Genomic DNA, 12,575 nt, shown 5'->3' with positions numbered 1-12,575 from the left:
CATGAAACAGATTGCCCCCAGAAAGCAGTAAAACTAGCAGAACCCTGCTCCCTGCTGCATATGCCAGATGCTGTGAAGCCATTAGTTGGTGAGATCTCTAGAAAAGACACCTGTTGAGTCTATTTTGATAGCATCTGATACAAATTCTAAAAGAAGATCATTTTTAGTATGTATTAAGATTGCTAAAGTGAGAGCTGTCTTTTTTCTAACACATTTTATGGAGAATTTCAAACATACAGAAAAGGTGAAAAAATTTTACAGTGAGTACCCCCATGTCCAGTTTCTAGTTTCTACCATTATCATTTTATTATATTTACTTTATCACATATCTGTCTATCTATCTGCCCTTCTATTTATTCATCAATCCTTCTTATTTTTTAGTACATTTCAGAGTGAGTTGTTGGTATCAGTGCACGTCCCCTAAATATTTTAGCATATATATCATTAACGAGTCAATATCTATAGGTTTTTTTCTTTTGAGGTAAAATTGCATGCAATGAAATGTACTGTTGTGTGTGTATATGTGCTGAGTTTGACAGAAAACTGTCTTTCTGAAGTGAAAGAAGCCTGGGGCCCTGAGGAAAAGGGGGCTAGAAGTCTTTTACAGCCTTTGCCCTTGCTTGTGTGATTGTTGGTGGTGGAATGGAAGCTCTCCTAGGCTCCAGCTTAGATCACCCCTTGTATTATATACATGTTTGTTTGTGAATTCTAGCTAGTGACTTCTCTTAAAAGGAGAGTTTCTATCCCCACTGTAGCATTGTTGCCAGACAGTACAGTGGGGACACTAGCAATGAGAGGAGGGTACATCTGCTCCTCTTGCCCATGTTCAAAGTTCTTAGATAAGAAAGTCATTCTCTCGAGAAGAATGGTGAATGAAACCTATTTTTTATACCAACTTGTTAATAGTATCACAAGGAGGCTTTTTCATGATACCTAATTTATTTTATAAAACAGGGTACCAGATGAATACATCCTCCTGGCCGATGTTCCTCTTAAAGACACTAAATGGGTCTGAAATGGCATCTGCCACATTATTTAAGAAGGTAAGAAAGATGTTATAAAAAGCTGCCATGTTTTTATTGTTTTAGTGGGAATGCTTAAATGCTTAATCTTCTGTGACATGGAAAAGCAAACATACTTTTAAAATTACTGGATTGGCAAGTGTATTAGTTTGCTAGGGTTGCCATAACAAAGTACCACAGACTGGGTGGCTTAAACAACAGAAATTTATTTTCTCAGTTCTGTAGGCTGTAAGTCCAAGATCAAAGTGCCCTCAGATATGTGCAATGCTCCACCATTAGCATATAGACATGTTTGTATCTCCACACCTTCACTAACATTGAATATTATTCATCTTTTAAAATGTTGGGAATCTTTTTTGTGGGGGAGTGGTGAAGATGAGGATGGTATCCCATTGGTTTCTGGTGAGATCTCTCTTCTTGGCTTCCAGATGGTTGCTTTCTTGCTGTGTCTTCACATGGCCTTTTCTCTATCCATGCACATCCCTAGTGTGTCTTCCTCTTCTTATAGGGACACCAGTCCTATTGGATTAGAGGCCGACCCTTATGACCTCACTTAACCTTTATTACTTCCTTAAAGGCCCTATTTCCAAATACATATATGTTGGGGGTTGGTGCTTCAGCATATGAATTTTGAGATGATACAATTAAATTCGTAACAATAGCTTAAATAATAGAAATATATTTTCTCACAGTTGCGGAGGCTAGAAGTCTGAGATCAAGGTGTCAGCAGGTTTTTTTTTTTTTGTTTTTTTTTTTTGAGACAGAGTCTCACCTGTCACCCAGGCTGGAGTACAGTGGCACGATTTTGGCTCACTGCAACCTCTGCCTCCCAGGTTCAAGCAATTCTGCCTTAGCCTCCCAAGTAGCTGGGACTACAGGCGTGCACCATCATGCCCAGATACTTTTTTTGTATTTTTAGTGAGGTGGGGTTTCACCATATTGGCCAGGCTGGTCTTGAACTCCTTTTTCTTTTTTTTTGAGACTGAGTTTTGCTCTGTCACCCAGGCTGGAGCGCAGTGGTGTGATCTCGGCTTCCCGGGTTAAAGCAATTCTCATGCCTCAGCCTCCTGAGTAGCTGGGATTACAGGCGCGTGCCACTACACCAGGCTAATTTTTGTGTTTTTAGTAGAGACGGGGTCTCGCCATGTTGTCCTGGCTGGTCTTGAACTCCTGGGCTCAGGTAATCTGCCAGCCTTGGCCTCCCAGAGTGCTGGGATTGCAGGCATGAACCACTGCCCCTGGCCAGGTTTGGTTTCTTTTGAGGCCTCTCCTTGGCTTATAGATGGCTGCCTTTTCCCTGTGTTTTCACGTGGTCTGTTTATTCGTGTCCAATTTGTTCCTCTTATAAGGATGTCAGTCATATTGGATTAGGGCCTACCCTAATAACCTTATTTTAACTTAATTACCTCTTTGAAGACCCTGTGTCCAAATACCATCACATTCTGAGGTACTGGGGGTTAGTGCTTCAACATACAAATTTTGGGGGTGACACAATTCAGCCCAGAACAGCAAGTCATAAAAAAGTCTCAATTACAATAACCCACTGGTCCAATTTCATTAGCAGCCTCTTTCTTGACTGTAGATATAAAAAGAGTGCTCTACTGGAAGCAAATATTCATTGCTATTTTTTATTTGCATTCAGAAGTGAAGCTTCCCCTCACTTTACTGTGTTAGTCCCTTTGATATTGGAGAAAAAGATGATGGGCCAAAAAATCACTCGAAAGTTAGTTGGAGAGATTTGGTTTCAGAAGTAATGTTAAAAGCAGTCATCAGAAAGAATTTGTTATGAGGAAATACTTGGTATATAAAAAAAGAGGAAAAATTTCCAAAGTAGTTTATGTTCTTGAGAAAATGTTGAAGAGTATGTTAAGAAACAATAAAAGCCACGTTTTAGTTAAATTATGAGTCAGAATATTTCTTTCTCACCTTTTCTCCTGATTGTTTTTCAATCACTTAACTTTTATTACAACTATACTTGGAATGGTAAGAATTGATTGTTGTTTTAAAAAGCTTTTGAAGAAGATTGAAGGCATAAGGATGTGAAACATCAATTACTATGCCTCCATTGCAAAGAAAAATTCTGTGGGTACGCCTCTGAGTAAGATGAATGCAGAAAGTGGACTTGCCCTACCTGCAAGGGACACAGGCAGCACAGGCCCTTTGGCCAGTGGTAAGCCATGTGTGAGAATAGCCAATTAAAAAATATTTAGCAGAAGTCTTTATTTATTGAACACCTATTAGCTTGGGCTGTGGCTTTAGAAAAGCCATTGGATCTGTTTTACTAGTCAGATTGCTTAATCAGCATGCCACACTTGTCATACACATTATATTTTCAATTTTTTTAATTATAAAAGTAATTCATGTGGTGGGGGGCAGGGGATGGGAATCAAGCTATACTCTTAGCTAGAGTGAAAAATGCATCTCCCTTTGTCCCAACCATTCCTTCATTCCTCTCTTCCCTCCAAATTGAAGTTTTATTTGTTCTCCCAGACCTTTTTCTTTTTTTTTTTTTTTTTTTTGAGACGGAGTCTCGCTCTGTCGCCCAGGCTGGAGTGCAGTGGCGCGATCTCGGCTCACTGCAAGCTCCGCCTCCCGGGTTCACGCCATTCTCCTGCCTCAGCCTCCCGAGTAGCTGGGACTACAGGCGCCTGCTACCACGCCCGGCTAATTTTTTGTATTTTTTTAGTAGAGACGGGGTGTCACCGTGTTAGCCAGGATGGTCTCGATCTCCTGACCTCGTGATCCGCCCGCCTCGGCCTCCCAAAGTGCTGGGATTACAGGCGTGAGCCACCGCGCCCGGCCTTTCTTTACATTTACAAACAAATATGGGCTTTTATTTTCTTAAACATCAGTTGGAATATATTGTACATATTATTCTGTGGTTTACTTTTTCTCCTAACAGTTTTGGAAATCATTCTATTTCATTTCATATATATTTTAGCTTGTATTGTACTCTTGTGTAGTATGGATCATCAGAATTCATTTAACCCTAGAATTGACTTAACTGTAAGGATGGATGATTGGGTCATCTCCACATTCTTGTTTAGATCAGCTCTATAGTGAGCATTCTTTTAAAGAGCTTTGTGTATAAACGTGAACGGTTGCATTCTTGGAACTAGAATTGCTTGTTCAAAGGGATGTATGTTTTGGCTGGGCATGGTGGCTCACACTTTGGGAGGCCAAGGCAGGAGGATCATTTGAGCCCAGGAGTTAAAAACCAGCCTGGGCAACACAGGGAGACCCTGCCTGAAAAAAAATTTTAAAAATTATAAAGAAAAAACAAAGGGGTGTATGTTTTAAATGTTGATATATACTGTGAAATTGCATCCCCAAAGGGTATTCTAAGGCAGCAGTCCCCAACCTTTTTGTCACCAGGGGTCAGTTTCGTGGAAGACAATTTTCCCATGGATGGAGGGGTGGGTGGTTTCGGGATGATTCAAACGCATTGCGTTTATCATTAGATTCTCCTAAGGAGTGTGCAATGTAGATTCCTCGCATGTGCAGTTCACAATAGGGTTTGCACTCGTATGAGAATCTAATGCCTCTCTTGATAGGAGACAGAGCTGAGGTGGTAATGCGAGTGATGGGGAGCAGCTGTAAATACAGATGGAGATTTGCTTGCTTGCCTGCTGCTCACCTCCTGCTGTGCCACCCAGTTCCTAACAGGCCACAGGCCAGTACCAGTCTGGGGGGTTGGGGACCCCTGTTCTAAGCTATGCTCCACCATTAGCCCATAAACATGTTTGTATCTCCACACCTTCACTAACATTGAATATTATCCATTTTAAATTTTCATGACTCTTTTTTTGGAGGGAGTGGTGAAGATGAGGATGGTATCCCATTGTTTTAATTTGCATTGCACTGATTACTAGTGAAATTGTGCTTTTAAGATTTGTTTAATGGCCTTTTGTTTTTCTGTGAATTGTCTGATTATAGCCTTTGCCTATTTTTCTGTTTTGTTTTTGAGACAGAGTCTCACTCTGTCTCCCAGGCTGCAGTGCAGTGGCGTGACCTCAGCTCACTGCAACCTCCGCCTCCCGGGTTCAACTGATTCCTGTGCCTCAGCCTCCCGAGTAGCTGGGATTACAGGCATGTGCCACCACACCCAGTTAATGTTTGTGTTTTTAGTAGAGACAGGGTTTCACCATGTTGGCCAGGCTGGTCTCGAATTCCTGACCTCAGGTGATCTGCCTGCCTTGGCCTCCCAAAGTGCTGGGATTACAGGCGTGAATCACTGTGCTTGGCCCTTTGACTGTTTTTCTATTGGATTTCTTTTCTTCTTAGAATCATCATCTTAAATCCTCACTTTTCCTTGATTTTGGCCTCTGGAGGTCCACTCACTTAGGTTCCTAATTATTTATTTGTCCTGTTTCTTTCTAACCTTACCACCACTGCTCCTTGGGCAGACTGTCAACCTAAAATAACAGCAGAGAAATAGGCTCTCCAAAAAAAAAAAAATAGTCTATTTGGGAACGAATGACAAGGGATTACAATGCAGGATGTTTGTGCTGTGATGGATCATTGGCATATCTGGTGAAGGTAAGGCAAAGGGAAGCTTTTAAAGGCAAAACAAGGAAGGTTACATAAGTTGTTTTGAAACACTTATCCTTGGCCACAAGGATCAATAACAAGAGTGGTATCTGGGGTTGAACGGTTACTGGATAGATGTCCTTGCAGGAGTATTCTTTGTGTGAGGTTGTGGTTTTCAGAGAGTCCTTGTAATAGTTTTTATCATAGGCGTGTGTACATGAGAGCCCCTCCTCTATGGTCCATTTTGTTAGGGTTTGGCATAAGTGACTCCATTTTGATTCTGACAACTTTTATAAGGCTCTCCTCTTGCCTGAACTGTTATGCTAGCCTTTTAACTGCCTCTAATCTTCACCCTTTCACACAGCCGCTAGAAATGTGTATCTTATACAAAAACCTTACCATGTTATTCCCCTGTTTAAAACTCTTTTGAAATTCCTGGTTATACTCAGGAAGAAGTATAAGTTTTTCAATATGGCCTGTTAGGTCCTGTGTGATCAAATTTAGGGATGCCACTCCCTGCTTTGGATGTTATGTTCTTAAATTGCTTGTGAAAGCTTGTAGATACCTGTTTATTTTTAGAGCTCTGTTTTGACTCATGTTGGTTTTTCCTGGTTAGCTCCTACTTTTTAAAGATTCAAGTCAGATGTTAAATCCTCCAAGATAATATCCCTAATTCCCCTTCTCCATTCTTCTACTTTTTTTTTTTTTTTTTTTTTTTTTTGGTGAGACAGAGTCTCCCTCTGTTGCCTAGGCTGGAGTGCAGTGGTACAATTTCACTTCACTGCCGCCTGCAACCTCTGCCCCCTGGGCTTAAGTGATTCTCCTGCCTCAGCCTCCCAAGTAGCTGGGACTACAGGCACCTGCCACCACGCCCGGCTAATTTTTTTTGTAGTTTTAGTAGAGACGGGGTTTCGCCATGTTGGCCAGTCTGGTCTCGAACCCCCAACCTCAAATGATCCACCCACCTTGGCCTCCCAAAGTGCTGGGATTACAGGTGTGAGCCACTGTGTCCGGCCCATTCCTATACTTCTATAGCATTGTATATATCCCAATCTTTGTATGTGTTAGATTATATTATTATTTTTACTGTCTCTCTTCCTGGACTGTGAGTTCCTTTTGAGCAGTTAGCATGTTTTTGTATTGTCAGTGCCTATATTAGTTTCTGGACACATACTTGTTTGTTAAAAGAATGAAGAAAGGATAAAAGAATACAGGAAGATAAATATTTATGGAAGGAACAGATGGGCTTAGTTTTGAACGTGTTGAGGTGTCTCTGGGAAATTTGAGTAGTGATGACTATCAGGCTGTTGAAAGTAAATGGTTTAGAACTTAGGAACAAAGTTTGGCTTGGGCACATGGATTTGGAAATTTTTAGCAGAAATAGTAGTGATAGAAGCTTTGAGCTTAAATGAGCTAGTCCAGAGAATATATAGAAGGAAGAGAGAGGAGTGTCAAGGTGAGAGCCTTGAGAAATACCTACCTACCTTATAGGGTGGGTAAAGGGATAGGAGCAGCTCTAGAAATGGAGGAGGAAAACTAGAATAAGCCAGTGTCATTGAATCCAGTGGGGCAGAGTTGCAAGGATTAGGGAGTGGTTAACAGTCTCAAGTACAGCTTAGAATTACACAGTGCCTGGCCCATATCATGTACTTAAGGAAGGTCATTTATGAGGAAAGCTGATTTTTGACTATTTGGTAGATAGAAAATCATCAGTTACATTAGCAAGAGCTAAAGTCCAGGTGAAAAGTGTCCTCAGCTAAATTTATAATTTTGGGCAGACTATATGGAGATCATTCCTGATGGCTTCAATTTACTATTTCTATAAATAGACCTCAATGATGGGAAGATCACTTGAGTCTGGGAGGTTGAGGCTGCCATGAGCCATGATCTCGCTACTGCATGCTAACCTTTTAGCCTAGGTGACAGAGTGAGACCCTGATTTAAAACAAAACAAAACAACAACAACAAAAAAACAAAACCTCAAATTCCTATTTCTGCAAAGTAGGAAACTGGCAAAGGCTGGAAGAAAATTCATACATACTGGTTGGGGATAAAGTCAGTTAACAAAATAACAAACATATAGTGAGGCTACATCATTTATCTCAAGGAGAATGGTTAAGGTTTGGAACAGCTGCCATACGGGATGGGAGAGGGAATGGTCTAGGGACACATGACAGTATTTTGGAGGGCTTAGCTAAGGATGAAGGGTAAAAATGTGTGTCACTACATGTAATAAGCATGTGGGAGGGACTTTGCTGCAGCAGTGCTCAGCAGCTGTATTAGTCTGTTTTCATGCTGCTGATAAAGACATGCCTAAGACTGGGGAGAAAAAAGTTTAATTGGACTTACAGTTCCACATGGTTGGGGAGGCCTCAGGATCATGGTGGGAGGTGAAAGGCACTTCTTACATGGTGGCGGCAAGAGAAAATGAGGAAGACGCAAAAGTGGAAACCCCTGATAAACTCATCAGATCTTGTGAGACGTATTCACTACCACGAGAATAGCATGGGAAAGACCGGCTTCCATGATTCAATTACCTCCCCCGGGTCCCTCCCACAACAAGTGGGAATTCTGGGAGATACAATTCAAGTTGAGATTTGGTTGGGGACACAGCCAAACCATAGCAGCAGCTAAGTATAAATAGGTGAAGTGGATGGTGATATTGAACTAAGGTTTGGAATAACAGGGCAAAGACAAGGGAATAAGTTGGTTTTGGATGCTGAGAAGAGAGTAGTGAAATGATGCTTTGTAACCTAGATATGAGTGCTGCTTCACATCCTACAATGCACAGAATACACATACACACACACACGCGCACACACACACACACACACACACACACACGCACACCCATTCTGGCTCCAAACGTCAGTAGTGCCAAGGCTGAGAAACCCTAACCTGTATTAATCCCCTGGTGAGCTCATCTAATTATCTGGCTTTAAATACAGTTTATATGCAAATGATTTTCAAATTTGTATTTCTACCCCAGACCTCTTACTCCCAACTCAGATTTGTATATCCAGCTACCTACTCTACATCTCCACTTGGATGTCTGATGGACATCTCAAACAGTTCCACCTGTTAACCTCCCTATCTCAGGGAGGGGAAACTATCTTTCTAGTTGCTCAGGCCTCAAACCTTGGTAATTGTTTCTTTCACACCCTACATCTGGTCCATAAGGAAATCCTATTGACTGTACCTTCAAAATACAGTCAGCTTTCCATATCCTCGGGTTCTGCATCTATGGGTTCAACCAACTGCAGATTGAAAATATTAAAAAAAAACAAACCCAAAATACAGTAAAAAATAGTACAAGTGAAAAAAATATAGTATAACAGCTATTTACATACCATTTATATTCTATTAGGTATCATAAGTAATCTAGAGATTACTTAAATTACTTATAATCTAGAGATTATTTAAAATATATGGGGGGATGTATATAGGCTATATGCAAATACTGTGCCATTTTATATCAGGGACTTGAGTGTCCTTGGATTTTGGTATCTTCAGTGGATCCTGGAACCAGTCCTCTGTGGATTCTGAGGGACAAATGTATATCCAAAATCCAACCACTTCTTGCCGTCTCCATTGTTAACACTCTGGTACAAGCTGTCTTTTTCAATCTCAGTTGGATTACTGCAGTAGCTTCTCACTGGTCTCTGCATTTATAACTTTACAGGCTATCATCAGCACAGCAACCAGAGTATTCCTTTTAAAATGTAAATCACAGCCGGGCATGGTGCCTCACGCCTGTAATCCCAGCACATTGGGAGGCTGAGATGGGTGGATCACTTGAGGTCAGGAGTTCAAGACCAGCCTGGCCAACAGGGTGAAACCCTGTCTCTACTACAAATTGAAAAATTAGCTGGGCATTGTGGTTGCGCACCTGTAATCCCAGCTACTCGGGTGGCTGAAACAGGAGAATTGCTTGAACCCGGGAAGCAGGGATTGCAGTGAGCTGAGATTGCGACACTACACTCCAGTCTGGGCAACAAGAGTGAGACTCCGTCTCAAAAACAAAAACAAAACAAACAAAAAACCCACATAAGTCAAATTATATCACTCCTCTGTTCAAACTCTTCCAGGGGCTTCCTGTTTTACTCAGAGTAAAAGCCAGAATCCTTACAGTGATCTATAAAACTATATATGATATGACCCCTCATTATCTGTCTGACCTCATTTCCTACTGCTCTCCTACTTACATTTTACCCACACTCAACTTCCTTGGTGTTCTTTGAACATTTCAGACACAGCTCCTGCTTTAGGGCCTTGGTTCTGTCCATTTCCCTCCTTCAGATTTCTGCTCACATGTCACCTTCTATATGAGACTTGTTTTAATTTCTCTATTTAAAGTTGTACAACCCCTCCTACATTTCTCTCTGGATTTTTCCTATTGTGCTGTTCTCTCTCTCTCTCTCTCTGCATAGCATTTATCATTTCTAATGTATGTGTTTTACTTTTTAAATTATGTTTATTGTCTCTCCTCACTAGCATGTAAGTGCTGTGAGGGAGGGATTTTGTCTTTTTTGCTTGTTAATATATCCCAAGAACCTTCAGTAGTGTCCGGAATATAGTAGATACTAAGTAAATATTTGTAAATGAATAAATGAAGGTTAAAGGACTAAAATTATTGGTGAGGTCAAATAAGTAGTTGATTAAAAATAAGGAGATAGAAGTTCATGTATTAGTTTGTGGTCAGAGGCAGGTACTGGGAATATAGCAGTAAACAAAGCATAAAATATGCTCTTATGGAGCTTACTTTCTACTTGGGGAAATGTTTAATAGATATGCTAAATAAAGAAAGTGTATCTTATGTTTTATACTCTCACATGTTTAGAAGAGAGGTCGACATTTTAGACAGGTTGGCCAGGAGGGTCTGAGAAGGTACCTTTTGAGTAAAGATCTGAAGGAAGGCAGACAGTGAACCATGAGGCTACAAGAGTAGGATTATTCCCCAGGCAGAGGAGTAATGCAGAGAATGCTGAGACTGGTTTCGGATTTTGTGGGACATGGGAAGAAATAGCCTTTAAGGAGAACCATATTGTAGGTAATCAAGAAGGGAGGTTAAAAGCTGGATGTGGTGGCACGTTCCTGTAGTCTCAGCTACTTGGAAGGCTGAGGCAGGAGGACTGCTTGAGCCCAGGAGATTTGAGTCCAGCCTGGGCAACATAGTGAGGAGACCCTGTCTTTTATAAAAGTAAAAGTAAAATAAAATAAAATAGAAATGAAAAAAAATAAATAAAATAAATATAAAGGCTGGGCGCAGTGGCTCACACCTGTAATCCCAGCACTTTGGGAGGCCGAGGTGGGTGGATCACCTGAGGTCAGGAGTTCGAGACCGGCCTGGCCAACATGGCAAAACCCTATCTCTACTAAAAATACAAAAATTAGCCACGTGTGGTGGCACGCGCCTGTAATCCCAGCTACTCGGGAGGCTGAGGCAGGAGAATTGCTTGAACCCAGGAGGTGGAGGTTGCAGTGAGCCGAGGTCGTGCCACTGCACTCCAGCCTGGGCAACAGAGAGAGACCGTCTCAAAAAAAAAAAAAAAAAAAAAAAAAGGGAGGTGGTTAAAAGAGCATTCTTTGCTAGCCATCTTCTAGAATAGAACCATTTTTGTCTCACCGTAAAAGAGAATTCCTTGTTTATTTTAGCTATTGCTTTTGCAAATTATATTTTTGTGTTCAGGAAGTTATTAAAGAACCGATGATGATGACAAACCAAATTCTTTAAAAGCATTTCACTTAACATAATGACCTCCAGTTCTATCCATGTTGCTGCATTGACAGGATTTCATTTTTATAGTTAAATAATATTCCACTGTGTATATATATCACATTTTCTTTATTCACCTGTTGATGGACACTTGATTTTTTTTGTTTTCTCTCCAACTTTTATTTTAGGTACATGGGGTACGTGTGCAGGTTTGTAATACGGATAGATTATGTGCTGGGGGGCTTTGGGGCACAGATTATTTTATCACCCAGGTAATAAGCATAGTAGCCGATAGGTAGTTTTTTGATCCTCACCCTCCTCCTACCTTCCACCCTCAACTCAAGTAGGCCCTGGTGTTTGTTGTTCACCTCTTTGTGTCCATGTGTACTCACTGTTTAGCTCCCACTTGTAAGTGAGAACATGCAGCATTTGGTTTATCTGTTCCTTTAGGGTAATGGCCTCCAGCTCTCCATCTGTGTTACAGAGGACATGATCTCGTCCTTTTTTATGGCTGCATAGTATTCCATGGTATATATGTACCAAATTTTCTTTATGCAGCCCACCATTGATGGACATCAAGGTTGATTCCACATCTTTGCCATTATAAATAGTGCTGCAATGAACATACGCGAACATGTGTCTATGGTAGAACAATTCATTTTCCTTTGGGTATATACCCAGTAATGGGATTGCTGGGTCGAATGGTAATTCTGTTATAAGTTCTTTGAGAAATCTCCAAACTGCCTTCCTCAGTGGCTGAACTAATTTACATTCCAACCAGTAGTGTATAAGTATTTTCTTTTCTCTGCAACCTCACCAGGATCTGCTGTTTTTTGACTTTTTAATAATGGCCATTCTGACTGGTGTGAGATGGTATCTCATTGTGGGTTTTTTTTTTTTTTTTTTGAGACAGAGTCTCATTCTGTCTCCAAGGCTGAAGTGCAGTGGCCCAATCTCGGCTCACTGCATCCTCTGTCTCCCGGGTTCAAGAGATTCTCATGCCTCAGCCTCTCAAGTAGCTGGGACTAGCCACCATGCCTGGCAAATTTTTTGTATTATTCGTAGAGACAGGGTTTTGCCATGTTGACCAGGCTGGTCTTGAACTCCTGACCTCAGGATATCCACCCACCTCAGCCTCCCAAAGTGCTGGGATTACAGGCATGAGCCACTGCACCAGGCCATCTCATTGTGGTTTTGATTTGCATTTCTCTAATGATTAGTGATACTGAGCATTTTTTTCATACGCTTGTTAGCCACTTGTATGTCTTCTTTTGAGAAGTATCTGTTCATGGATGGACACTTTTGAT

The 12,575-nt window shown here is 41.1% G+C and overlaps 1 protein-coding gene across 5 annotated transcripts in view; it reads left to right on the top strand.

Annotated features, from left to right (window-relative positions):
- SCML2 (Scm polycomb group protein like 2) overlaps window positions 1–12,575 on the top strand; it is a 115,806-nt gene that overhangs the window by 33,744 nt on the left and 69,487 nt on the right. For all 5 annotated transcript variants that reach the window (NR_033717.2, XM_017029219.2, XM_006724458.1 and 2 more), the window contains exon 6: window positions 955–1,043. Coding sequence is in view for 4 of the 5 variants with exons in the window: in XM_017029219.2 (XP_016884708.1) it covers window positions 955–1,043 (89 nt within the window). In the remaining variant the exon portion in view is untranslated. The remainder of the gene's footprint in view (window positions 1–954; window positions 1,044–12,575) is intronic.

This window comes from Homo sapiens, chromosome X (assembly GCF_000001405.40).
Source record: "Homo sapiens chromosome X, GRCh38.p14 Primary Assembly".
In the NCBI taxonomy this organism is placed as follows: domain Eukaryota; kingdom Metazoa; phylum Chordata; class Mammalia; order Primates; family Hominidae; genus Homo; species Homo sapiens.
The sequence above is the reverse complement of the archived record's forward strand: the minus strand, read 5'-3'. Positions and strand labels throughout refer to the sequence as shown.